Source organism: Homo sapiens, chromosome 10 (assembly GCF_000001405.40).
Source record: "Homo sapiens chromosome 10, GRCh38.p14 Primary Assembly".
NCBI lineage: Eukaryota > Metazoa > Chordata > Mammalia > Primates > Hominidae > Homo > Homo sapiens.
In genome coordinates, this window is record NC_000010.11 from 19,502,200 (window position 1) to 19,527,856 (window position 25,657).

Sequence of the window (25,657 nt, forward strand, 5' to 3'; positions counted from 1 at the left end):
TTTCTTCAATATTTCTATTTATCAATTTTACATTACTAAATAATAAACTTTTCTAAAATTTTTAAAATATAAATAAGCAGAAAAAACTTTTCTAGTAAACTCAGAGTAATGTTAAAGCCATCGATAAGCCTTATGTATGTTCATACTCCCATTCTTTCTTAATGTTATGCATTTTCAGAGAGAAATAGGTTTCTATTTGATTCTGTAATTCTAAAAATGTAGTGTAAATAAGTTTATATGTAGTGAAGTATCTTGCACAGCATAGTTTTATAGTATTTTACTTTTTGAAAATATCAAAATTTATAAAATCTTATTATAAACATATTATTTTCTCCATTATGATAAATATCACAACAACAAATTGACATTTAGATGGAACTTTTTTACTTCTATAATTCCCAAAGATGAATATATGGGATTTTTTGAGAAAATATGAGAAACAAGCCAATTTTCATTTATTCTGCTAAGATCTGGACAATAACGTGTGGACACAAATGCCTGTGAGCTCGTTAGATATTATCTGCCATAATCTTCCCTTATCCTAGGACGGTATTTGAAAACTACAGAGCATGTCTTCTGCTATAATAATACTAATGATACAAAAACTGCAGGCTCAGTTGAGAACAAGATTAAAGTATAGTCAATAGATATGAGAAAGTTTACATCTGTTGTTCAGAAAGAAAACACGAGTGTTCAATTGATACCTTTTAATGGAAACATTAAAGATTATTAAGAGTATTAATTTTTCTTTTTTGAACTTTTAGAGCTTGTGTATGTTCATCAAAGATCACATGAAAAGTTTTGAATCTGGTTATTTATGTAATGTTATATACAAGCAATGTTGTCTGCAGATTTAAAAAAAAGCAGTAATTCTGACAGAATACTTTATTATCCTCCTTGTTAATCACTACTTGAGACAGTATATTTTACAGAGTGCTCTCTTCAAAGCAGCCTGATTATATCATTCTTGATACACTAATACGGCTGAGTGAGACTATTTAGGCATCTCTGAAATAATGGGATGCTGAATAAATTGTAAGGACATTAATTAATTTTGACCCTCTGGGAAAAACAAAATTCTTTATGAGAAGGCCAACAAATTCAGTGAGCCTATGGTCTATTTCTAAGCATCACAGCAGAGCTGTTAATTAAAATTGTATTTATGGACCTTTGCACTTATTGTTATCAAGATGAAGAATTAGATACATAAGAGGGCCATTTTCACTGCCCATCACAGGGCTATTTATGAGCCTTTTTGGAGACATTGACGAAGTTGGGGAGAGAAACAACAAACATCAGTCGACTCTCTGGTCTACACATGAATACTGTTTAGACTTAATGTATACAAGATTGAATGGCAAGGGTGACATTTATGTAGCTTGAATTAATGAAGGCATAAGGCACAAAGCTGCTGCTGTCTCTCTTTTTCCCTTCCTTCATAACTTTATGTTCTTTTAAATGATATAATCGGCCATCTCCACAATTAGACTATCAACTCCAGTAAGACAACTGTCACATCTTTTGCTATTGTTACGTCTCCTCTAGCATTTAAATAAGTTTGAATTGCACCTGATAAATACTTCTGTAGGTTACTTGGAACTATCCCCTACTATATTTATTGACAGTGAAGTATTTTGGATTACTTAATGCATTAAGCATTTCCTGAGTGCTTACTAAATACCATTCATTGTGCTGGGAACAGAATATGAATTAACTAAATGTTTGGTAAATAACTATGGAATCAAATATGCTGACTGACAAGAGCATACAAGCTTACTATCATGCATTTCTATACTCACCACTCAAGGTCAGAAAACACCCCCAAATAATCTTAGCAAGCTAATGCTCTCCTATGTATAATAGCAATTTAAGACATATAGTATTCAATAAATACAACTCAATTTGATATTTGGTTGATAGTGTCCTGCAGGTTATGCAGATGATAACTGTACTTCCTATGGGCAGACAGGATGGATATTATTCTGATATCAGAGATGAGGAACACAGATATTATGGTTTTTCTCAACCCGTAAAATGAGTAGCAAAGCCGGAGTGGAAACCCTGGCGTATGGATCCGAATCCAAGCCCTTTTCCAGGACATCACTGTAGTGTGTTCTTTCCTTATAAACAGCTCTGCCTGGATCCCCTTAACCTTCGTATTCAGGGCCACTAAACCTCAATTTCACTCTTGATTTGTATCACCCTGGTCTCTGATAGAGTAGAGAGAGACTCCCCTACTTCTACTAATTCATTTGCTTGAGAAGGTTGGACAGGGATATGGGGTTAGATATAGAAAAGCCAGCACTCCCTCACATGATTCCCAGACCATTATTCCTGGACCCACTTTGATCTTACTCATATGCACTCAAACATACACATACACTTAAAGACATACTTGCACACACACTCATACACAGACACACACACACATATACAAAAACATATAATGACTATATTGTAACACATTTTTTTTTTTTTTTTTTTTTTTTTTTTTGAGACGGAGTCTCGCTCTGTCGCCCAGGCCGGACTGCGGACTGCAGTGGCGCAATCTCGGCTCACTGCAAGCTCCGCTTCCCGGGTTCACGCCATTCTCCTGCCTCAGCCTCCCGAGTAGCTGGGACTACAGGCGCCCGCCACCGCGCCCGGCTAAGTTTTTGTATTTTTAGTAGAGACGGGGTTTCACCTTGTTAGCCAGGATGGTCTCGATCTCCTGACCTCATGATCCACCCGCCTCGGCCTCCCAAAGTGCTGGGATTACAGGCGTGAGCCACCGCGCCCGGCCTGTAACACATTTTTTAAAGATTAAACTGTTTGACAAGAAATTTTTGAGGCATTCCAAGAAAAAGAAGGAGAAGATGAGGGAGGAGCTGGGGCAGAAAAAGAAGGAGAAAGAGGCAGAGGAGGAGGAAGAGGGAGAGGTAGAGTAGGAGGAAGAGGAAAAAGGCAAATGGGATCAGAAATCCTAAGTTAAGGAAAAATAGTTCACTATAGGTCTTCCCAAAGAAGCTACACATATATACAGATATCCTAAGATCCAAGTAAAAAGTACTGGTAAGGACTGAATTGTGCCCCCTTCCTCCAGAATTCCTAGGTTGAAGTGCTAATCCTAGTGTGACTATTTGGAGATACGGTCTTTAAGTAGGTGATTAATGTTAAATGGGGTCATAAGAGTCTTAGTTCAATAGGACTGTTGTCCTCATAAAATGAAGGAGAAACACCAGGAATCTTCAAGTACAGAGGAAAGGCCACGTAAGGACACAGAGAGAAGACAGTCATTGCAAGCCAAGGAAAGAGGCCTCAGGAGAAATCAGATCTCCTGGCACCTTGGTCTTGGACTTCCAGCCTTCAGAACTGTGAAGAAATAAATTTCTGTCGTTTAAGTCATTCAGCCTCTGGTATTTTGTTGTGGCAGTGCTAGCAGACTAATACAAATTCTAAGAAAGGTTGTGAAGAACTCTTCAGGGGAACTCACTCAGACCACTTGGAGGAATAGGGAAATTGGCCCTGCTTCTCACATTTCAACCAATGATCACTGCTTCCAAACACAACTGCTCGCATAAATGGCTTTCTCTCTCAGGATAAAGTCAGGGAAGGGCAGTCTAAAGAAATTTGGACATCTGCCTGGGGAAAGATAATCATGAGATAATTACAGCCTGAAAATGAGTCAGTGTCATAGTTGGGGTTACACAGGATCATCACAATAGGGAGTGGTTTTGAACCTTGGCTGCATATTAGAATCATCTAGGGACTTAATAAAAGTACTAATAGCTGGGTCCCACCCACAAAGATTCTTATTTAATTGGTCTTTGCTGTAGCCTGGGCATGAAGATTTTTAAGAATTCTGCGTGGGATTCCAGTGCGTGGTCAAGGATGAGAATGCCTGCCCTATGGGGAAGTGTATTTGCCTGCATGCTCAACCTACATCCAAAGCACCTGCTATTCATCCTCCCAATCACAGAAGTCTGTTGGGAAAACAGTTCTTTCTGTTGACTATTGAAATTCTTTATTGTGTGCTAAGCAACAGAGGCTTTCATTCATGAGTTTAAATGAATAACCAAGAATCACCACACATTTGAAGACAACCAATGTCATGAAAGAGAAAGTAGAGGAAAAGAACAGTTATCCCTGGAAGAAACAGAACTCAGCATAATGGACAAAAATCAGATTTCTCATTGCTCTTTAGAGAACTGTGACTGGGTTTATTATCCAGCTATATGAGCCCAATCTCATTCAAATTCTCATGTACTTAGAATGAAAGCTATCAATCAGATGCACCTGTAGGAGGCATTGATTTGGAAGTGAGCATCAATTATTCATATCTATTGACACTTGTGTATCATACAAGTGCAACCATTTTTGTCATGATACTAAAAATATTGTTGAGATATATATATATATTTCCATATACATGTATATATTCTAATTCAAATGTGCATATATAAGTAAATATTTACATAAAATATATTTTCTATTGGTTAGATATGATAATAAGTGTGGTTAAATGTAATATGCCAGTAATAAAAAAGAAGTCATTATCTGATAAAAATATATACTGAAGTATTTAAAGATGGTGCAATTTGATACCAGGCTTGCTTTCAAATAATTCTGTAGTATTGAAAATGTGGGTGGAAATATAGACAAAGCAAGATGGACCATGTGTATTAGGCCATCCTTGCATTGCTATAAAGAAATACCTGAGACTGGGTAAGTGATAAAGAAATTTAGTTGACTCACAGTTCTACAGCCTTTACAGGAAGAATAGTGCCAACATCTGCTTGGCTTCTGGGAAGGCCTCAGGAAGCTTGCTATTATGACAGATGGTGAAGGGGGAGCAGGCACAACGCATGGTGAAAGCAGGAACAAGAGAGAAAGTGGCAGGGAGAGGAGGTGCCACACACTTTTAACTGACCAGGTCTCCAGAGAACTCACTCTCACAAAGAGAGCACCGAGCCATAAGGGAGGGATCTTCCGCCATGATCCAGTCACCTCTCACCAGGCCCCAACTCCAGCAACGGGGATTTCAGTTAAGCATGAGATTTAGGCAGGAACCAATATCCAAACTATATCACCATGGGTTGAAATGGTTAAAGCTGGGTTTTGGGTAGGTAGGAGTTCATTAGTCTATTATTTCCGCTTTGGTATAAATGTAAAAATTTTCAAAATAAAGGCGTTTAGAAAAATCGTTCCCACAAAGTATGAACGTGATCAAATCTAGTGAAAAAACCTAACAATATGAAATCTAGTGTGGAATTAGAACTGATTATTTAGAAAATACCAAGGGAGTTGTACACCAGATAGAAGTGAAGACAATACATAATAATAATAATAATATCTCTTCACTAGGTTTTCAAGTTATACTGAAACATAACAAAGAATATGATACATAAATTCTTCTTTAATATGAATTTTAAACAATACATTGGAATTTATTGTGATGCCAATTCAGAACAAATTTCTGTTTAATATTGGTTAGTGTTTGGATACTCAAAAGGAGTTAATTACTACCAATAGTCATGATAATAATAAAATTAAATCCTGAGAGTATTAAAGTGAAACATTTGGGATTTCTGTGATGCTTCAATCACCACATTGAAAATGTATGTGAATAAATGGAGGTGTTTTCACAGGTGGGTGACACAAAAGTAAAATAATGTACATTGGCATGATGAAAAAAATGTTTCTTCAATAATTCATTCATCAGGAAATATTTTTTTGAAGCCCATTTTTTTGAGGCACTATTCTAGGTGCTTGGAATATCTGTTGAATAAATCAGAGAAGGATCTCTGCCATCATGTGGCTGACATTGTAGCAAAGGGGGAAAGAAAGTCAATATGAAGCATTATTAATCACAAATTTGTATAGTGTGTTGTTGTTGATAAGTGCTATAGGAAAAAAAGGAGTTTCTGGATGGTGGGGGTGGGGGAAGAAGAGTGAGTTAAATAAAATGTTACATGTAACTACTGCAATAAAGATGCTTTCATTAGTGTTTTTACTTTTTCAAAGAGTTGTGGATGGATGGATGGATGTGTGATGTATACTGAATAGACAAAAAAGCTTTTTTCAAACACAATGTGAAATTTCAGAATGATTTAGAGGAAGAGATCTGACACTTATTAAATGTTTCCTAAGAGTCAGAAACTGTGAAAAAAAGAATTTATGTATGTTGTCTCATTTAATATTTTTAAAACACTGTGATGTAAAACATGATGTTTTTAGAAAGGTTAAAAAGCTTTACCATGTCACATGGATGACTGAGCAGGTAGATTGGAATACCAAATTTTCTGACTCAAAACACTTTCTCCTGAACCTATACTGTCCAATGTGTTAGCAACTAGCCACATGGAACTATTGAGCCCTTGAAATGTGGCTAGTCAAAATTGACATGTGCTCTATGTGTAAATTACGAACTGGATTTCAAATATGTAGTAACAAGCAAAGAATATAAAATATTATACTAGGAGGTTGTATATTGATTATATGTTGAAATTATAACATTTTGGATATATTAGATTAAATAAATTACTAAAAACTTGTTTACTTCTTAAAATGTGGCTACTAAATATTCTAAAACTACATATGTGGCTCACGTTATGTTTTAATTGGACAACCCTGTTTAATATTACACTGCATAGGTAAAGAAGGCTTTCTTGTCTACCAAGTGAATAAAACACTGGAATTGACTGAAGAAATATTGAAAAAAGCCATCCCTGTATAACTTTGAAGATGAGTAGTCTTTTACTTATAAATTTACACACTTGCAGCAAGAAGTGGCAAAGATGGTCTATTTGACATCCAATCCACTTTAAGCAAAAAGTACTTTGGAGAAAAAGAGAACAATGAAAAGCAAAGTGGTATAATTTTAACAATTTAGCCTAATCTATTATCTTTATATTACATTATATATATTAACAAAGTATATCCTAATAATTAAACATTATTAAAAGAAGAATGTTAGACAAATTACGTTTAGCAGAGTTTATTTGCACAATAAATAATTCATGAATTGGGCAATACTCAGAACCAAAAGTGGTTCAGAGAGCTCCACCCTTCAGTGTGAGCAACAAGCGTTTATGAGCCAAAAACAAGCAAGTTAGAGAAATTATCTGATTGACTATAGCTAGGCATCTGCCTCATTTGGGTATGGTGTGATGAGTTGGCTGCCTGTGACTGGCTGAAATTTGTCTTTTATACTCCTAAATTTGGTTTTGGTTTATTTCTGTACTAAGTTAGGTTGCAGTTGGTTATCTAGGAACTCAAAGTACAAAGAAGACTTCAGGGTAATGGCCTCTTGGTTATTTACTTTGACAATTCCCTTTTCTGGTCAGCCTCTCAATCTTGAGAGGTTGATGCAAACCTTGGGCATTGATGCTAAGGTTTGTCACCATCATAGTGGATATATTTGGTCTCAGTATGGAACTCACAAGGTACAGTATCGAGTCAGCTGAATGATTTGTTCTCTTTGTGTTTTTGTTGTTCAAACCAAAGTGAGACCATTTGATACACAGTGAATGGCTACGCACAAGCATTTAAGACCCTTGAGAGAATACAGTGTACCAGGCAGACTACTATGATGACTATCAGAAGGATAATACCAAGACACTGAAGGATGAAAGGGTGGGTTGCCCCTGCACACCTGTGGGTGTTTCTCGTCAGGTGGAAGGAGACACTTGAGAAAAGAAAGAGACACAGAGACAAAGTATAGAGAAAGAAAAGTGGGCCCAGGGGACCGGCGCTCAGCATACAGAGGATCCGCTCCAGCACCAGTCTCTGAGTTCCCTCAGTATTTATTGATCATTATCTCTACCATCTTGGAGAGGGGGATGTGGCAGGACAATAGGGTAATAGTGGAGAGAGGGTCAGCAGGAAAACGTGAACAAATGTCTCTGCATCATAAACAAGGTAAAGGAAAAGGTGCTGTGCTTTTGATGTGCACGTACGTAAACATCTCAATGCCTTAAAGAGCCAGCATGTCTCACCTCCAGCCCTAAGGCAGTTTTCTGCTATCTCAGTAGATGGAATATACAATCGAGTTTTACACTGAGACATTCCATTGCCAAGGGAGGAGCAGGAGACAGATGCCTTCCTCTTACCTCAACTGCAAAGAGGCTTTCCTCTTTTACTAATCCTCCTCAGCACAGACCCTTTACAGGTGTCGGGCTGGGGGATGGTCAGGTCTTTCCCTTCCCACAAGGCCATATTTCAGACTATCACATGGGGAGAAACCTTGGACAATACCTGGCTTTCCTAGGCAGAGTTCCCTGCAGCCTTCCGCAGTGTTTTATGTCCCTGGGTACTTGAGAGTAGGGAGTGGTGATGACTTTTAACAAGCATGCTGCCTTCAAGCATTTGTTTAACAAAGCACATCCTGCATAGCCCTAAATCCATTAAACCTTGAGTCGACACAGCACATGTTTCTGCGAGCACAGGGTTGAGGGTAGGGTTACAGATTAACAGCATCTCAAGGCAGAAGAATTTTTCTTAGTACAGAACAAAATGGAGTCTCTTATGTCTACTTCTTTCTACATAGACACAGTAACAGTCTGATCTCTCTTTCTTTTCCCCATATTGTTTACTCCATAGCAGGAGCCCTAAGAATCATATGAATTAAAATCAAATAAATCAAAAAATAAACCAGAAGTGGAATCTACTTGTTTTAACCAAATAGCTTGTTTGCTGAATTCTTGCAGATTAGTTTCTATACCAGATGTATTTATCCGTGTGCAGCAAGAGGTGTTAGCTACTGTAGACACTCCCCGCTGTTCAGCCAACAGGTAGTCCAAAACAATCTTGCTATCTAAAACAACCTTATCAAGAGAATTTAAAGAAATGTACTGGGCAGCCATAGCCTTTGCAATATAGTCAGCTATATCAGTTAGTATTTGAGACTGATTTCTAACCATAACTTTATTATATTTATGCCAAGCCAGGAAAGGAGTGTTCTACCCAAAGATGCTCATTTACAGCTAGAAAAAATCTTATTTATTTTACATTGAAAATTGAATTGTATAGATCAATGATCAGTTTCCAGTTGATTATGGAGTGAGTGGTGCCGTTAAAATGCCTAACCCACATTGGCCTCTTTTTGAGACATGGAGTCAAAAAGATCAGCACACGGCTGATCTTTAAATTCTCTACAAATAAAAATATATCTTCAAGAGCCACAACAGACAGTTCCCTTTAAGATGTCTTGTGATTTAAGGGTCACTAGTAGGAAAGCACTAAAATTTATCCAAGGCTTTATTATCAAATCATAGCATGGTTAGAGCCCATCAACAATTAGGGTTATATATTTGTCTACAAAATGCCAAACTATTTTTTGTTGTTCTTATTCAATTTCTGGCATAATTAACTGCAAAACCCTCATTATATGTTTTGCCTACTGTTAGCTTTAAACAAGGAATATGAATATGTGAATCTAAAAGTCTAACCCTATAGAAGAATCAAACCTGCAATATGAGAAAATGGTCACATTTGGAATATCAGTAACTTTTGTTTCAGGGTGAACTAGAGGATCTCTAAGATCATGTAGGGATATTGGTTTAACATGACATAGTCAACATTCAGTTAGGTTTTCTGCAGAAGTTATCAACTATGAAATCTTGATTTTGGCATTATCTCACCATTTGTAAACAGAAAAGAAACACAGAGAAAAAATAAAAAAGACAAAGTTTTCATAATGAGAGAGGGGAGAAGTTTTGATCCTTGTTTTGGGGAAAGTTGGCCACATCTAGGATGTCATCTTCTTCTGAAGAGAAATCTCCTTGGTCAGTTTTGCCTTGAGGTCTCCAAAAGATGTGCAGTCTTGGAGGAGTCCTCTTGAGTTGAGAGATAGGGAGCCAAGACTGAAGGTTATAAAGTTTTGCTGCAGTATGATTGCTTAAAAGAGCTTGGTATCATTCTCTCCAGTGGGGCTCAGGGGCAGTCTTTCTCTAGTGTCACTTCCAAAAGAGCCATTCTGTGCCCTAGATCATGAAAAATGTGGTTATCATCAGTTGGTGGGTAACAAAGGGCTTTTTTTACATGGTAAACATATACTCTGGCATAATACATTAAAGCTTGGCAATATTTCATCATTTATAAGAACAGGAGATACAGGCAGCTCTATTGTTATGGGCAAAGGCCTCAGTGACTATTTGATAAGATTTCATAATTGGTGCTTTCCAGGGAGAATAGATATTATTGCCATCAAGGACAGCAGTAATACATTTGCCCAAGGCAATCCAGTCTATTCAGTTAGTTTTGCATAATGCCATTGTGTTTGTAATATCTTATTTAACTGTTTGATGATTTGCCCAGTGAAATGAGTGCCTCCATCACTGGAAATTTCTTCAAGAATACCCCATAAAAGAAAAACATTTATAATAACCTCTTAGTTACTGTCATAGCATTGGCTTTCCTATACAGGAAAGCTTCTGTCTAACCAGGAAACATACAAACTACAAGAACACATTGATATCCCATTGAAGGTGGCAATTGAGTTAAATCCATTTGTAAAATTTTAAATGATTTATAGGTAGAAATGCAGCGCCTAAAGACTTGGTTGTCTTCCCAGAATTATGGATTTGACAAACCAAAAAATGCTTACAAACCATTTTAGCAATTTTAGACTAGTCACTCCAAGATTTTTTTTTCATAATTTAAGTCATTTTGAAATTTCCATAATGATTCATGGAGTGCATAGTTTTAAATAATGGAAGATTTAAGGACTCAGGAAGGACGAAGTGGTCATCTGGGTCCTCCATGGGTGTACAATTAACATCGAATTTACTTAATTTTAAATAACACATTTGTTTCTTCATTTCAGGTGTGTAGCACTGTTTATTAAATAGGTTGTCATAGATAATTTGAGTTGGGTCAATCTTACTGTGTTCACTTAAATTGCATATATGATATGGTTTGTATATTTGTCCCCTCCAAATCTCATGTTAAAAGGTAATCCCCAGTGTTGGAGATGGGACCTAGTGAGAGGTGCTTGGGTCATGAGGATGGATTCCTCATGAACGGCATGGTGCTCCATCTCTGGTAATGAGTCCACATGAGAACTCATTGTTAAAATGTGTGTAGACCTCCCCCTTCACTCTCTTGCTTCCTTTCTCACTACGTGATCTAACAGGTTCCCTTTTTCCTTCTTTCATGACCATAAGCTTCCTGAGGCCTCACCAGAAGCCAAGCAGATACTGGTGCCATGCTTATACAGCTTGCAGAACCATGAGCCAAATAAATCTCTTTTTTTTTTTTTTTTGAAAATTATCCAACCTGGCCGGGCGTGGTGGCTCACGCCTGTAATCTCAGCACTTTGGGAGGCCGAGGCGGGCGGATCACGAGGTCAGGAGATTGAGACCATCCTGGCTAACACAGGGAAACCCCGTCTCTACTAAAAATACAAAAAATTAGCCAGGCGTGGTAGCGGGTGCCTGTAGCCCCAGCTACTCGGGAGGCTGAGGCAGGAGAATGGTGTGAACCCGGGAGGCGGCGGTTGCAGTGAGCTGAGATTGGGCCACTGTACTCCAACCTGGGTGAAAGAGCAAGACTCCATCTCAAAAGAAAAGAAAAAAAAAATTATCCAACCTAAGGTACTCCTTTATAGCAATGCAGAATTAACTAACACAGTATCTTAACAATTTCAGTATTGGCTGACTTAACCACGAGAATCTGCAACAGCATTTTCTTGGCATTCAATTAATTAATTCTTGTTCTACTAGATATTGGGTTAGCAATTTAGGTGCCAATCAGTTTCTTCATTAAAATTCTGAGAATTCTTACCTAGTCAAATGATGGGATCTTAAAGTTACCAGAAACCTGTACTTGTTAGAGTCCTTTCCGTGAATCCCCTGAAAGATAAAATATTTTAGGCTTACAGCTGTTTGTAATAGCTTTCAGGAACCTAACAGAATAAAACAATGAACTATCTACAGATGACAAGACTTAAAATGGCCATGGCTTAAAGATCTTATTACAGTTTATTATAGTGCAACTGGCAAGAAAATTTTGTTTTTGCAACATAAAATAATTTAAGGTAATAACTAGAATTATGACTGACAGCATTATACTACAACCATCAGTTTCCTTGGAATTTTATATAATTTCTCAAACACATATTAATAACATATCATACAATATAATTGAAATAAGGTTTAGTATCACTTATTATTTGACAATGTTTCCCATGCCATTTAACATGTTAGATAAGCCTAATTAGTTTTACACCTCTCTTTTAATCAAGAGAAAGAAAAAAATTCTTTTGAGATATTTCTATGGCCTGTAGGAAAACTCCCTAAGTTAGTTCAACGTCAAAAGATCCTAATTTAGACTTTGATTTTGGGAAGTCTTGAAAAATAAGAGGTTTTGAATACTTGATTAAAATAGGATTACAGGGCAATGTGAAACAATGCTTACTCATTTAACTAGAGTGATAATTAAAATATTTAAAGACAAATACAGAAAGGTACATAGTTATAGGAAAGAAAAACCTTAGTTCATTTAATAAACAGAACTCACTTTTCTTAAGAAATGAAAGATCCCATACAGACTGCATGAAGTGTAGGAAATTATCTTGATAAAACACAGAATATTTGTTTCCTAGGTCAATTATCTAAAAGGAAAGCCTTTTACAATTTTCTACTAAAGGCAGACCAATACTCCAAGAAAACCTTGTTGTTTTAACATAGAGGATCAAATTCTTGTTTTGTATCAGTGTACTTTTGATATAAATGCTTATTTTTTTGGAAGACTTAAAAATAATTCCCTTCTAATTGCAGCCAGTTTGATCACACATAAAATATCTGTCCATTCCATCTACAATACCCTTATGTCCATTCAGTGTTTGTTTTATACTTTTTTCTTTTTCCCATTTTGAAACAGCCATTTCTTATGCTTTAGGACAAAAAAAAAAATCTTTTTTACTTAACAAACAACAAAAACACAACTTTATACTTTATAGCTTTTCTTACCAAAAGCATAGCTTACCATCTTTATATACTTGGATTTAGAATGGTTTTTCTAATTATTTCTAGTAATTTTAGTTACATGTATGAATTCAAATAATGAACTCTTAGTGACCTTAATTTACAGGGAACACTAGGAAGCAAACAACTGAGCTATATCACACCAGCTTCCTGTAGATTGGCAAATCTATGAATCATAATTTCTAGAAATATGTACTTTTTCATAGTACACTTTTTTTGGTATGACACAGAACATGTGTACTAACAGTTTAAACCATCTTTAGTCCTGTAATGAGAAACTGTAGAAGAGGCAAAATTTTATCTCTGTCCTTTCAAGGTTTTCTTTTAGTAGGTCACTTTAACTTGTTGTTTGTACAGATTTCCCGTAGCCTCAACTTTCTCTTTTTTTTAATTTTTATTTATTTATTTTTTTTGAGACAGAGTCTCGCTCTGTTGCCCAGGCTGGAGCACAGTGGCCCGATCTTAGCTCACTGCAAGCTCTGCCTCCCGGGTTCACGCCATTCTCCTGCCTCAGCCTCCCGAGTAGCTGGGACTACAGGCACCCGCTACAACGCCTGGCTAATTTTTTTTCTTTTTTGTATTTTTAGTAGAGATGGGGTTTCACCATGTTAGCCAGGATGGTCTCAATCTCTTGACCTCGTGATCTGCCTGCCTTGGCCTCCCAAAGAGCTCGGATTACAGGCGTGAGCCACCGTGCATGGCCAACTTTCTCTTCTTGCTGATAAGAACGTTAGAACCAGCTAGTATAAGGACATCATTCACATGGGAATTTTAGATTACTTACACCTATTTAATTCACTTGTTTTTATGATTATGCTTGGATTACTTATGAAGATGAGACGTTAAACAACTAGCTATCGTCTTAAGTTATTTTCATTGCTGACAAATTTTTTAATATAGAGATAACATAAGCTTGTTTTACTAATAAACCTAGGTAGAAAAAGTTGTGCATCTGAATTATGTCTAATGTTGAGAAATCTGGAGATGTACCTGCTTTAATCAAACTCACACACTTTAATTAGCTTTTATTTACCAAAGACTATCCCAGATCATGTAAATTTGAAAATAATTTGTGTTAGTTTCTATCTTAGAGTTTAAGGAATATCTAATTTATGCAAGTGCTCATTTTTTTCAGCCAATGTAAGAGAACTCTTTTACAATTTAATTTTGGCAATCCTGTAAGCTGGTAGAAAAATACCACACATACATAACATATAGACAATTAGACAAAAATATATACAGAGAAACATTTCTTATAGCTTTTATTTGAAAATTTAAACCGTGTTTCAAGTACAATAATATGAAACTCACTAATTTATTAAAGATTTAGAGTCAAATTCTTTTTCTTGTCCGTGGAACAAGATTGCTTTCCTAGATGACTAAATATTCTACTAATATTTGTGGGGAAACTTTTAAGATTTTTTCATTTGTTCAATTTTCAAATATCTTCTCCTCCTCCTGCTCCTCCTCTTCCTCCTCCTCCTCTTCCTCTTCCTACTCTTCTTCCTCCTCCTCATCTCCTCCCTCCCTTCCTCCCTCCCTCCCTTGCTTACCTCCCTCCCTCCCTCTTCCTTCTTCCTTGTTCTTTCTCTTCCCCTTCACCTTCTTCTCCTCCCTCTTCTCCTCCTTCTCCTTCATCATTATCATTTTCTCTATACTTGCATTTTAAAATGATATCTATGAGGTCCTACAGAAGACAGTGTTAAATTTTTACATCTTAAAGTCACAGAGCTTAAACTTTAGGCTTAAATACTGTAGTCTGCCTAAACCAAGAAAGAACGGCATAGCTAAAAGCCCAGTTAAGACAAGATGGCCATGACAAGCACTTAAAACAAAAGTAAGGCTTTTCATGTCATCAGGGGTTTGAGACGAGGGGTTTTAGTTGACCGAGTAATTCCTCTGGTTGAAGCAGGATTGAATAGGAAAAACAGAACTAATTCTAACAAACGTTTTTCTGAAAATGATCCTAATATCAATTGGATAGATTAAGACTGTAGACTTTTGGGGGCTTGACTTGAAATTCCCACCCTGGAAATATGCTTTTTTATCTGAGGGACTGGTTGGTTATTGTCCTGGGAGTCAAGCCCTTAAGTACTTTCTCCAGTAGGGAAACATTCCAGGCCAATGTGAGTGCATTCATCAGATGGCTGGTGAAAACATGGGCAATTTCTTTTCCAATAGCCTGGCTGTTTACAATAAAGGCAAAAATCTCAGGGCACGAGGTTCTAGTTTGAAATCTCTCAGTTTGGGTTTTAAAATACACACAAGGAGGACCTGTTAGTCCCATAGATACAAAGACATGCATCATGCCTTTTCTAAAGAGTTTTCTCGCTGTAGCCAATGTAACTCTAAGTCACCTTTGATAAAGTTCACCCATTTCTGTAGAAAAACACAGATTCTAGGTCCATAGTTCTTATATATGAAATCAGCTGGTGTTCCAGATGGGGGAGTTCTAGATACCTTGGTTACAGATGACCTACAATTTTATGTAGTAACCTTACCTATTGGATCCAGTCCAGTTTTGTTATGAAGTTCAGTATGAGCCTGGGCACAGTCATATCCAGTAATTGTTCGAATAAAATCAGGAAGCTCAAAACACAAATTTGAGGAGCTCAAATTTAAGAGAGAACTCACCCACAGCCTTCACTTGTTGCAAGAGAGCAATGGACTTAATGCTTGGTCACTTGGTGCTTCTGAGGGTCATGGGAGGTTTCCTCCACATCCCACTTCTGACACCAAACTGTTAATTCAGACAAATTAAATTTAGCAGAGTTTATTTTTGCAGATATGACTTATAAATCAGGTAGCACTCAGAACCAGAAAAGGTTCAGAGAGCTCTGCCTGAGTTTGAGCAAGTTTTTATGAGCCAAACACAGAAGCACTTTAGGGAATCCCCTGATTGGCTATACTGCTAGGCATCTGCCTTATTTCGGAATATTGTCATTAGTTGCCTGCCTGTGACTGGCTGAAACACAGCTGCTTATGATTAGCTGAAGCTCTGTTGTTTGTTATACTCCTAAGTTTTATTATAGTTTGTGTACATACTAAGTTAGGTTGTAGTTTGTTTTGCAGAAACTCAAAGAGACAACCTCAGACTAATGGCCTCCTGCTAATTTAATTTAACAACATTAACATGGCAATCTGAATATATCAGCAATTTCAGTGTCCATAAATAACTGTCTTCTGAATTATTGTGCAGATATTATCATTTCTGTTTTATAATTTCCATAGAGAAAAACCAATGACATTCTTAATTTTATATTTTCTTTATCTTTTATGATTTTCTTTTTCTTATATAATGTCAAAGTTGATATTTTATTATTTTTTGAAATTACAGAGTCTCTACTGACCTGTGAGATAGTATTTATGATAGTGTGATAACATCTCTATAATGACATACGTTGCCTTCATAATTCACTCTACAAAATCATCCAGATCTCTATTTCCAAATTTTGTATTAATTGTTACAGGCTTTGCATTTTCAGGTAATGGTGTGAACATTTTTTTTTTTCATAAATACTAAAATACAATTATCTTTGTCAGCAGAAAGGTACTTTTCTTAATAAAATGTTTAGTTGTTTCACTAACAGTCATGTTCTGAAACTTCCTAAATAGAACAAACTTTGGCTTACTACATAATTGGTTTCAATTTTAGTGGCAATTGCCATTCATGAATCACTCACAACCACAGTGAAAATTATGACCATCAGCACTGCCAGTGCAACACTAGTCATAAAGTTGATTTGCTTTAGATGTTTTGCTTTTACAATGAATTAGACAGCATTATCCCTATAATGCTGTTTGGTGTATGTAATGCAGGATCTCACTTTTTAATGATATATGAATGTATCTCGGGTTATTTTAAAAGCTTTCTCTCTTTTTCTGTCTTTTCTTTGACTTGCCCTAGAAATATCCTCTTCATGTTTACCATTACTTAAAAAAATGTATATACTTGTTCTAATTTTCTTTCATTGTCAAAATTTTTCATCAGTATATACTTATTCTAATTTTCTTTCATTGTCAAAATTTTTCATCAGCATAGTCAAGTTTTGCATAATAGCATTTATTTACACTATGAATATCAGTTTTTTTCTCATTTTCTTCTATTGTTGCCTCCTACTTTTACTTTTCCTTTGACTTTTCTCCTATTATGCCACCAAAACATATAAGCATGAAGTGAAAGGAGATTTTTATCAAGGAGAATGACAAACTATTAGTATAAAATGAACAGTTATTAATATTACTAATATTTCATATACTCATTATATACTTTGAAAAATCTTTAGTATCATCTTTTAAAAATAATTTGGTTCTAGACTGGGCACAGAGGCTTACACCTGTAATCCTAGCACTTTGGCAGGCCGTCGCAGGAGGCAGGAGGACTACTTGAGCCCAGGAATTTGAGACCAGCCTGGGAGACATAGTGAGACCCTGTTGCTACAATTTTTTTTTTATAAGGTAGCCAGGTGTGTGCCTGTAGTCCTAGTTACTCGGGAAGCTGAAGTGAGAAGATTGCTTGAGCACAGGAGGTTGAAGCTGCAATGAACTGTTATCACGCCACTGCAATGTAGCCAGGGCAACAGAGCTAGGTGCCTTCTCAAACAACAATAACAAAAAACTGGTTCTGATATTTTCTAATTATTATATTTGTTCAATGATTAAGTAAATACTTTAGTTTGGAACAAAAGACTATTAAACGGTCTACTTTCATACAAAGCAAATGAAGAGGGGTTCTTACAGTTGCTATTGTTTACCTCTTTTTAAAGGAATAACATATAACTAAAGGTAGATCATTGTTATGTCCACCTAAATAGAACATGTCTTGTTGTCAAAACTGATGTGACCCTTTGTAGCTACTATTCACTGAGTGTCAATCACCGTGCACCTGACTCTGAACAGGCTTTTTCATTTAATCCTCACAACAACCTTGAGTCGTTCACGGAAGAGGAAATTGATGCACAGAGAGGGTTACTAACTTTCCCCCAACTACACAGAAGGCACTTGTTGAACTTAGCATTGAAACTCGTGTGTATCTAAAGCAAAAGCCTGTATTTGTAACCACTGTCCTTTAATGTGGATTTCTCAAAACATCCCAAAATGTATAAAACTGATGACATAAAAATGGTAATCGATGGTTTGTTTTCTAAAAAAAAAAAAGCTGCAATTGGTATCATCTTTGTCATTGCATTTTGTCTACCAATGGCTCAAAACAAGTATGTTTTTTCTGTCCTTCTTAGTTACTCTAGTTGCTGTTTTCTTCCTACATATCAGTATATTTCTACTTTCTCCTTGTCTCATTTAACTTTTTAGAAATACAAGTATTCTACTCCAAACATACAATACCATCAAAAAAGAAATCCAGGTGACTTTGTTGGCTGATAAGCCTCAGAATGTGTCTTGCAGATTTAGTTTTCTTAAAAGTTTTCTGTGAAAAGGAATAAATGATAGCCATTGTTTGCTTGTTAACCACAATTAGAATAAAAGTGTTTCTCTATGAAACCATAGTGAGTGTTTAGGTTAGGGTCCTTCCTGTTTCTTTTATTTTTTTTCTGAGACAGGTTTTTTACCTTAGTGATGTTTCGACAACAAAAACAAACCCTGATTATCTACAGCTGCTCTATATTTCTTCAGCTATTCACCCCATCAAACAAACAGTAATTTTCATTTTGCTGCCAAAAAGCAATGCTGGTCTGAAAATATGAACCCCTTCTATTCATCCACATGTACCATCTGAATCAGATACCCAATCAAATATTCCTTCCTTTACTTTGGTATATTTGTCTACATTTATTTAAAATATTTCCAAGAATACTTAACAAATGTTTCAAGCACGACCCAAATGATGCTTGCTTGCTTGCGTTTTTTGTTTGTGTCAAAGGTATTATCTGTGAGATGATACTGAGTGAAAAACATGTGAATGAATCAGTTCATTTGGAATCTTGGAGGGCATGATTAGACTCTGAATATGTAATCTGAAAACTTTTCAGATGAATTATCTCATCGTTTTATAAGCATCTAGACACCGTAATTTCTCTAAAAAGAATCTTCTAAATATGTATTTATTTACAGACTCTATTTCCTGGTAAAATAATGAACTACTTAACCATTTCTATCTTTCCATAATCTTGCTTCCTTTAATTTATTTCCTTGAGTGTCCTTAAACTGTCACTCTGTCACCACATCATACTTTTTGTCTTCAAGCATCACAGTTCTCTCTGATCTTAACCAAAAAAAGACAAAATGAAATAAACTTAGTCTAGATTCTCTTCTAATGATTATTGTTTTCGTTATAAATATATATTAAATAACCATTCCTCATGCACTTTGTGTCCTCCCCCTCACTATCCACACCTTCCTTGGTGCCCTTCAATCTGTCTTCTGCAAAATATTATTTCTGCAACTAGTAATTATTGGTCACTCATTCTTGGCCATTGATCTAGATAGTGTAAAGATAATATTTTAGAAGATTCAGTCTCTGTCCTCTTGAATATATTCTAGTTCTCTTCCAGGACTTTTATGATTTTTAAAATTGTAACAACCTGATTCTTGCTATTATATGTATTTAATACTACTGATCAATCACTTATTTCCACATTTGAGTTCCATACTATCATTTGCCCACTAGGTAATTGTTAGTATCTCCAAGTCACATATTCAAATGTAAACTTGCCTTCCTTGCAGAAAGCATCTTCTTCTCATGACTCTAGTATCTCTGTTATTGTCATCATCATTGTTAACACTGTTAATTCTCTCTCAATTTCAAATTCTGTCAGCTCTCTTTCTCAGCTGATTATATGTTTTCATAATCTTTGCATTTTCACATCTGTCATCCATACTCACTTCTGGGCTATTGTAGATAAGGCCACTCATTTACAACGCAACTATTCTTCTGAATGAGGCCACTCTTCACACTGACGCAAGATTAATATTTATAATTGGTGACTCCTGGTCCGCCAAATAATCAGAGGCTCTTCATTGCCTTTCAGTTTAGCATCAAGGACTGTCTGCATTCTTCTACAGATTGTATTTTTCATTTTAATTCTTATGTTCTTCTTCTACAAACTGAGTTCTTGTACCTCAGAAGTACTTTGGGTTTTATTAATATCAATACTTCATTGTACCATTGTTTTGGTATGATTTGTAATTTTTGGCTGATAGTAGACACTATATACTGGGTAAAAGGAACTGAGATTAAAAGGCCATTAGTGTGAGGTTTTTAATGTTTACCTGACTAGGACTAAGATTGTATTTACTGTTTGTTATAGCTGTAGGTGTCAGAAGGTAACATTTCCTCTGGTATCCTTGTCTTTGTCTTCCTCATGATAGTTGAGTTTCCTTAGAAGCTTCTTCTTAAATAAGGACTGTAGGATGGCCTGTCTTTCAGTGGTAGTACCCCATTAGGACACACCTTTTATGAAGTTTTTCCTCCTTCACCAAATTTAAGCCATCTTTTATTTGTTGAACTAAGTAGCATTTATGATCTACATCAATATTTGATATTATATGCTCCCAATAATCCAAATGAGCTGTAAATTATTATTATCCCCATTTGATAGATGATAAATATGAGACATAGTAGGGATTAAGAAATTTTCCCAAAGTCACAAAGCTTATAAGAATCAGTATTTGGCTTTTAACTCAGGCAGTTTGACTCAGAGCTGGTCTTTAAAACAATACATATTATTAGCTTGTAAGATTATTTTGGATTTGTTTTGTATTTTACCAGTCTTACCTTGCACATCATTCTACATCCAAATGAAAGACATGCTACCTTCTCTATAGTAGTTATTCAATCAATAACTTGCAATTAATTGTCTTATTTCCACTGGTAGAATCATCTTTATATCTATTCTCTAAATTTCCCAGGAGAGTAGCACTAATTTGCAACTATGTTCTAAGTACTTTACATGTAGTAGATCATTTAATTTTTACCACAACCCCATGAGGCTGAAGTATGTACTATAATTATCTCTTATTGCTTCTGAGTCCTAGAGAATTTAAGTAGGTTGCCCAAGGTCACATACCTAATAAGTGGTAGAGTCAGGATGCAAATCAAAGTCTACAGCTCCAGTGCCTTCAGACTTAACCAGTGGACAATCCTGCCTACAGTTCTGCCCATTACATATGCATTAAAATAATGTGATAATATATTTCTGTTTCAATGAAAATAACTATTCTTCTGTTCTTACTTGCTTTCCACACTCCTCCAGGTAAAATAGATCTGAAATTTAAATGAAGTCAAAGCTCTTTTATAATAGTGACCACTTATCATTTTACCTAAATAAAAGCATCTACCATTTATTAGTTTTGCCTTCTCGCATGACCATGAAACAAGTTTTACTTGTAATCTCATTTGGAAAACAAAGTTACAGAAATGTTATTAAGTTAATTCATGTTTCCAAAGGCATCTTGACAAATAAATGACTCATAAAGAGGTTTTTCAGGGTTCTTTGAATATGAGGATGCAGAGATTCAGAATCTCTTGTCTCTAGCTGTAACTTATAGGAAATGGCAACGAATTTCACTTATATATCATCTTCCTGTGATTGAGGTATTCTTGCTGCTGAGCATATTAGGTTCTTTAAAAATAAGATGACTCTACCTTGTGTTGGCATGCCACAACCAGAAGCTTCATTTTTGTATCAGATTAATGCATACTGCGGGGGGCGCATGGGGGGAGTTTATAATATTGACTTTGATGACAGTTAATAGCATTAAAATGAGACATTCTGGTAAAAAAGTGTTTTTATTTAAGAGGCAATAATTAGTCTCAAAAGAGATTAATGCCTAAAGCATTACTTATTGGAACAAAATATAATTTATGACATTTAAAAGAAATAGTCATTGTATCACTCTTTAAAAAGCAAATCAGAATAATGTAATGACAGACATTTTTATCAAATGCTATGAGAAAAATTCATTCGTCTCCAGAAACACTGCATCTGTGTTTTCCATTCTGACAACTTTGAGGAAACTTTTTCTCTCGCTGGCCATATTTACATTTCACAGCCTTTAAAAATTGCAGATGTGAGCTGGGTGCAGTGACTCACGCCTGTAATTCCAGCACTTTGGGAGGCCAAGGTGGTGGATCACCTGAGGTCAGGAGTTCGAGATCAGCCTGGCCAATGTGGTGAAACCCTGTCTCTACTAAAAATACAAAAAATTAGCTGGGCGTGGTGGTGCGTGCCTGTAGTCCCAGCTACTTGGGAGGCTGAGGCACGAGAATCACTTGAACCCAAGAGGCGGAGGTTGCAGTGAGCCAAGATTGTGCCACTGCACTGCAGCCTGGGAGACAGAGTAAGAAAAAAAAAAAATTGCAGATGCACGTTGGAAATCTGCGGGAAGAAAATGAAAGCACAAAAAGAGATTGAGAGCGTTTCACCTGATAGTCATTAGACACCCTTCTATTGAGAGTGAGAGACAGGCAGAAATTATGGAGGATGCAGAGGCAGACTGAATAAATCTGACTCTGAAGAATGGAGCTTTTGCTATTTTGAAAGAGGCATAATGCACAGCATTTTTAAAAACTATTAGCCAGCTTTATTTTATGAACAGGAAAATGAGAAAAAAAAAGTCTAAAACTGAGTCTTAATTTAAAGCAGGGATTGAATTCAGATCACTTGAAGTGAGAAATTGTCTTTTATTATTTTTCCTTAGTGCAGTAAGTATGATTCTTCTTAGGGCACTGAAGCTGTCAAAGCATACCTTTCCTTTATTTTATTTTTTAAATTTTATTACTATTATTATTATTATTTTGAGATGGAGTTTTGCTCTTGTTATCCAGGCTGAAGTGCAATGGCATAATCTCGGCTTACTGCAACCTCCCGCCTCCTAGGTTCAAGCGATTTTCCTGCCTCAGCCTCCCAAGTAGCTGGGATTACAGGCATGTACCACCATGCCCAGCTAATTTTTTTTTTTTTTTGTATTTTCAGTAGAGACGGGGTTTCCCTATGTTGGTCAGGCTGGTCTCGAGCTCCTGCCCCTAGGTGATCTGCCCGCCTGGGCCTCCCAAAGTGCTGAGATTACAGGCGTGAGCCACCGAGCCCAGCTAGCTTTCCTTTAAAAGTATCAACTTTTTTTTTTTAACAGAAAAATGTAAAATTGATTACCTTATAGTAGAATGACTCAATGAAACAGTTTTAAAATCTCGAGAGTGTAGCTAATCACATCTAAAAGACAAATTAGAATTTTTAACCCTCTGCTGACATCAATGTGAAAAAATGTCCATGAAGCATAGTGATTGATTCTGAATTTGTCTAGTATATATTTGGCACTCTGATATTAAGTAACTGTTGTGATTTGAGGATAGTACACTTTGATGCTGAATTTATACTATTGTATTTGACATTAAGCAGCTACAATTTTCAAAAATGTGTGCAACTCTTTTAAAGAGATTTTAAGGTAAAAGTTGAATATTAATTGGAAATCTCTATTCATTGCCTAATTGTAGCTAATTAAGATGCAAAATGTAAAATCTGTGCCCCAGGAATCTTAAGAACTTATAATCATAAACTTACACAAGCAAAAGTGAAGTATTAAATGAAAAGTGTCCAGAAAATATTTGGTGTCAGTTTGGGAGAGGCAAAATTCAGATATATTTAATGAATACAATATTCCAGAACACTACACCTGGTAGTATTTAATTAAAGTGTAATCGATTTTACAAAATTAATTGAATGCATTCTGATCTGAATATATGAGGGTTAAGTAGCTTTTGAAATGGCAAGTAGTAAGCTGTAAAACAGTCCAAAATCAAACAAATAAACGAAAATTCTGCTTCTATAAATAGCTGTTCTGTGAATGTTGTTGATCTTTTCATAGAGTCATATAAATAAAGCGAGTTGGTTTAATGATTTACCATTAAATTCTAAATATGCTGTGGCAGTTCAGACATTTCAGCTTTATTATCTGCTTTAATATATTCTGAACTTTGTGCAAGAGGCTACATTGACCTTCCCCAAGGATTTTGCTAGATATAAATAGGTAGGTCTCAATGAAGCAACTGAAAGTTTATAAATGTTTGAAAGTGGGTCTAGTCTGAGCTTGCTAGATAAAGAATGAGTCTATTTCTGAAAGTATAATTCAATGTAAGGTGTTATAACATTGAGATACAGTACATAGTTTCTGGATAATTCATGAATTTCTATTAATAATTTCAAGAGGCTAAGCAACTTTCATCTTTATGATTCTCCAAAAAAAAAATACATATATATATATATATGTCATCACAAAAGTTCATCCCTCTTATAAGGTCAAACTTAGATATGCTAGAGTTTCAGAATTAAAAATTGCCAAAGATTAAATTTGCAATGGTGTCTTTTAAATTTCCAGGTACATTTTTGCTTTCTTAAATTTTAAAATGGATACCTTGGCATGCATTAATACTTTGGCCAAGATTCAGTTTTCTGACTTTTGTGTTAGACTGCACAATTTTGTAAGACCAAAATTGAGTATGCAAATTTGAAGATGTTAAGTGGCGATATACTTTGATAACTCAGCCCAGAGTCCCTTAATTAATAATTGGAATGGTTAGCTTTGATATTGGGCCTTACATGACATTGATTGTCCTGTGCCAAAATAAATATGCTGCAGCGAAATAGTGGATTATCATTCCCAGTGAATTAAATTTCTTTACATTGTGTTTCATGACATAGCCCTAAAATGCAAACATTAGATTGTATAACATTTCTTTCTACGAAGTCATATCTTTGCTAAGCTGGTTTTAGTAGTTGCTGTCACAAAAGTGACATTTACTGGGGAAAATGTAGAATAGGAAAGAAGGTGATGTTCAGTCTGATTTCAAGGTTTGGGAATTTGTGTAGGGCCCAAAAGACACACACCCCATTAGAAAATAACTATGGCTATTTAAGAAAGCAATAATACATATATTACTGTTTCCATCTGTGTGCAGTAATTTTCCAAGTACCTGCGATGTTGTTAGAATATTTTTCAAGTACTTGAAATGTTGTTAGGTACCAGGCTGGAAGAAATATCTCAATTTTGTTTTTTACTTCTCTTTATTAGTAAATTACTGAGAACTCTAAAGATGTTGTGACTTGAGTTACTTCAGGAGCCTGTAAGTTATTACAAAGGATGGAGCATTTGGTTAGACTTAATTCAGGTTGCTGTGGAAACTTAAAATTGGCCTTTTATAGTTAGATATTGGAGTAAAAGTATTGAAAAGAAATATCTGAATTAGTGGAGTTTCAATGTATGTATGCAATTGGAGGAATACATTTACATAAATACAAGATTTTAAATCGGAATTCAATTCCTAACTTTGCAAAATTGGTTAAATTTGTGTCAGTGAACCTAATTACTAATTTACCTACTGCTTTAAATATTTGGCTTTCAACATCAGGTTGACACTACAACATGGAAAAAGAAATATTTAAAGTCTGAATTAAATAGAATCTGCTTCTGAGATGGAAGTACATTAGTTATCATTATACATGTTATAGTATTTGAGAACTGAACTATAAAATAGAAATAACTTATACAAACATATTAGTTATTTAACTATTTGGGACAAAGTCAAGGCTATTTATTCACATCCAATATAGGATGAATATATTCCATACTTTCAATTAAGCCTTACTGTACATGAAAAGTTATTATAGCTCATTGGATTATACCATATTTTTCTTACTGAAGATAATGTTTTAAAGTTGGTCTGATAAAGTGCAGTCTAA

General features: G+C 35.6%; 1 protein-coding gene across 10 annotated transcripts in view, besides 1 other annotated feature; it reads left to right on the forward strand.

The window, feature by feature from the left end:
• MALRD1 (MAM and LDL receptor class A domain containing 1) overlaps positions 1-25,657 on the forward strand; it is a 687,552-nt gene that overhangs the window by 455,273 nt on the left and 206,622 nt on the right. The gene's annotated exons all lie outside the window — the stretch shown is intronic.
• Positions 8,050-8,617: an enhancer, noted in NCBI's record as "OCT4-NANOG-H3K27ac-H3K4me1 hESC enhancer chr10:19799178-19799745 (GRCh37/hg19 assembly coordinates)". NCBI's record gives its function as "activates a minimal SCP1, AML or CMV promoter by ChIP-STARR-seq in primed H9 embryonic stem cells {active_cell/tissue: H9 hESC(primed)}" and the evidence as "EXISTENCE:reporter gene assay evidence [ECO:0000049][PMID:30033119]".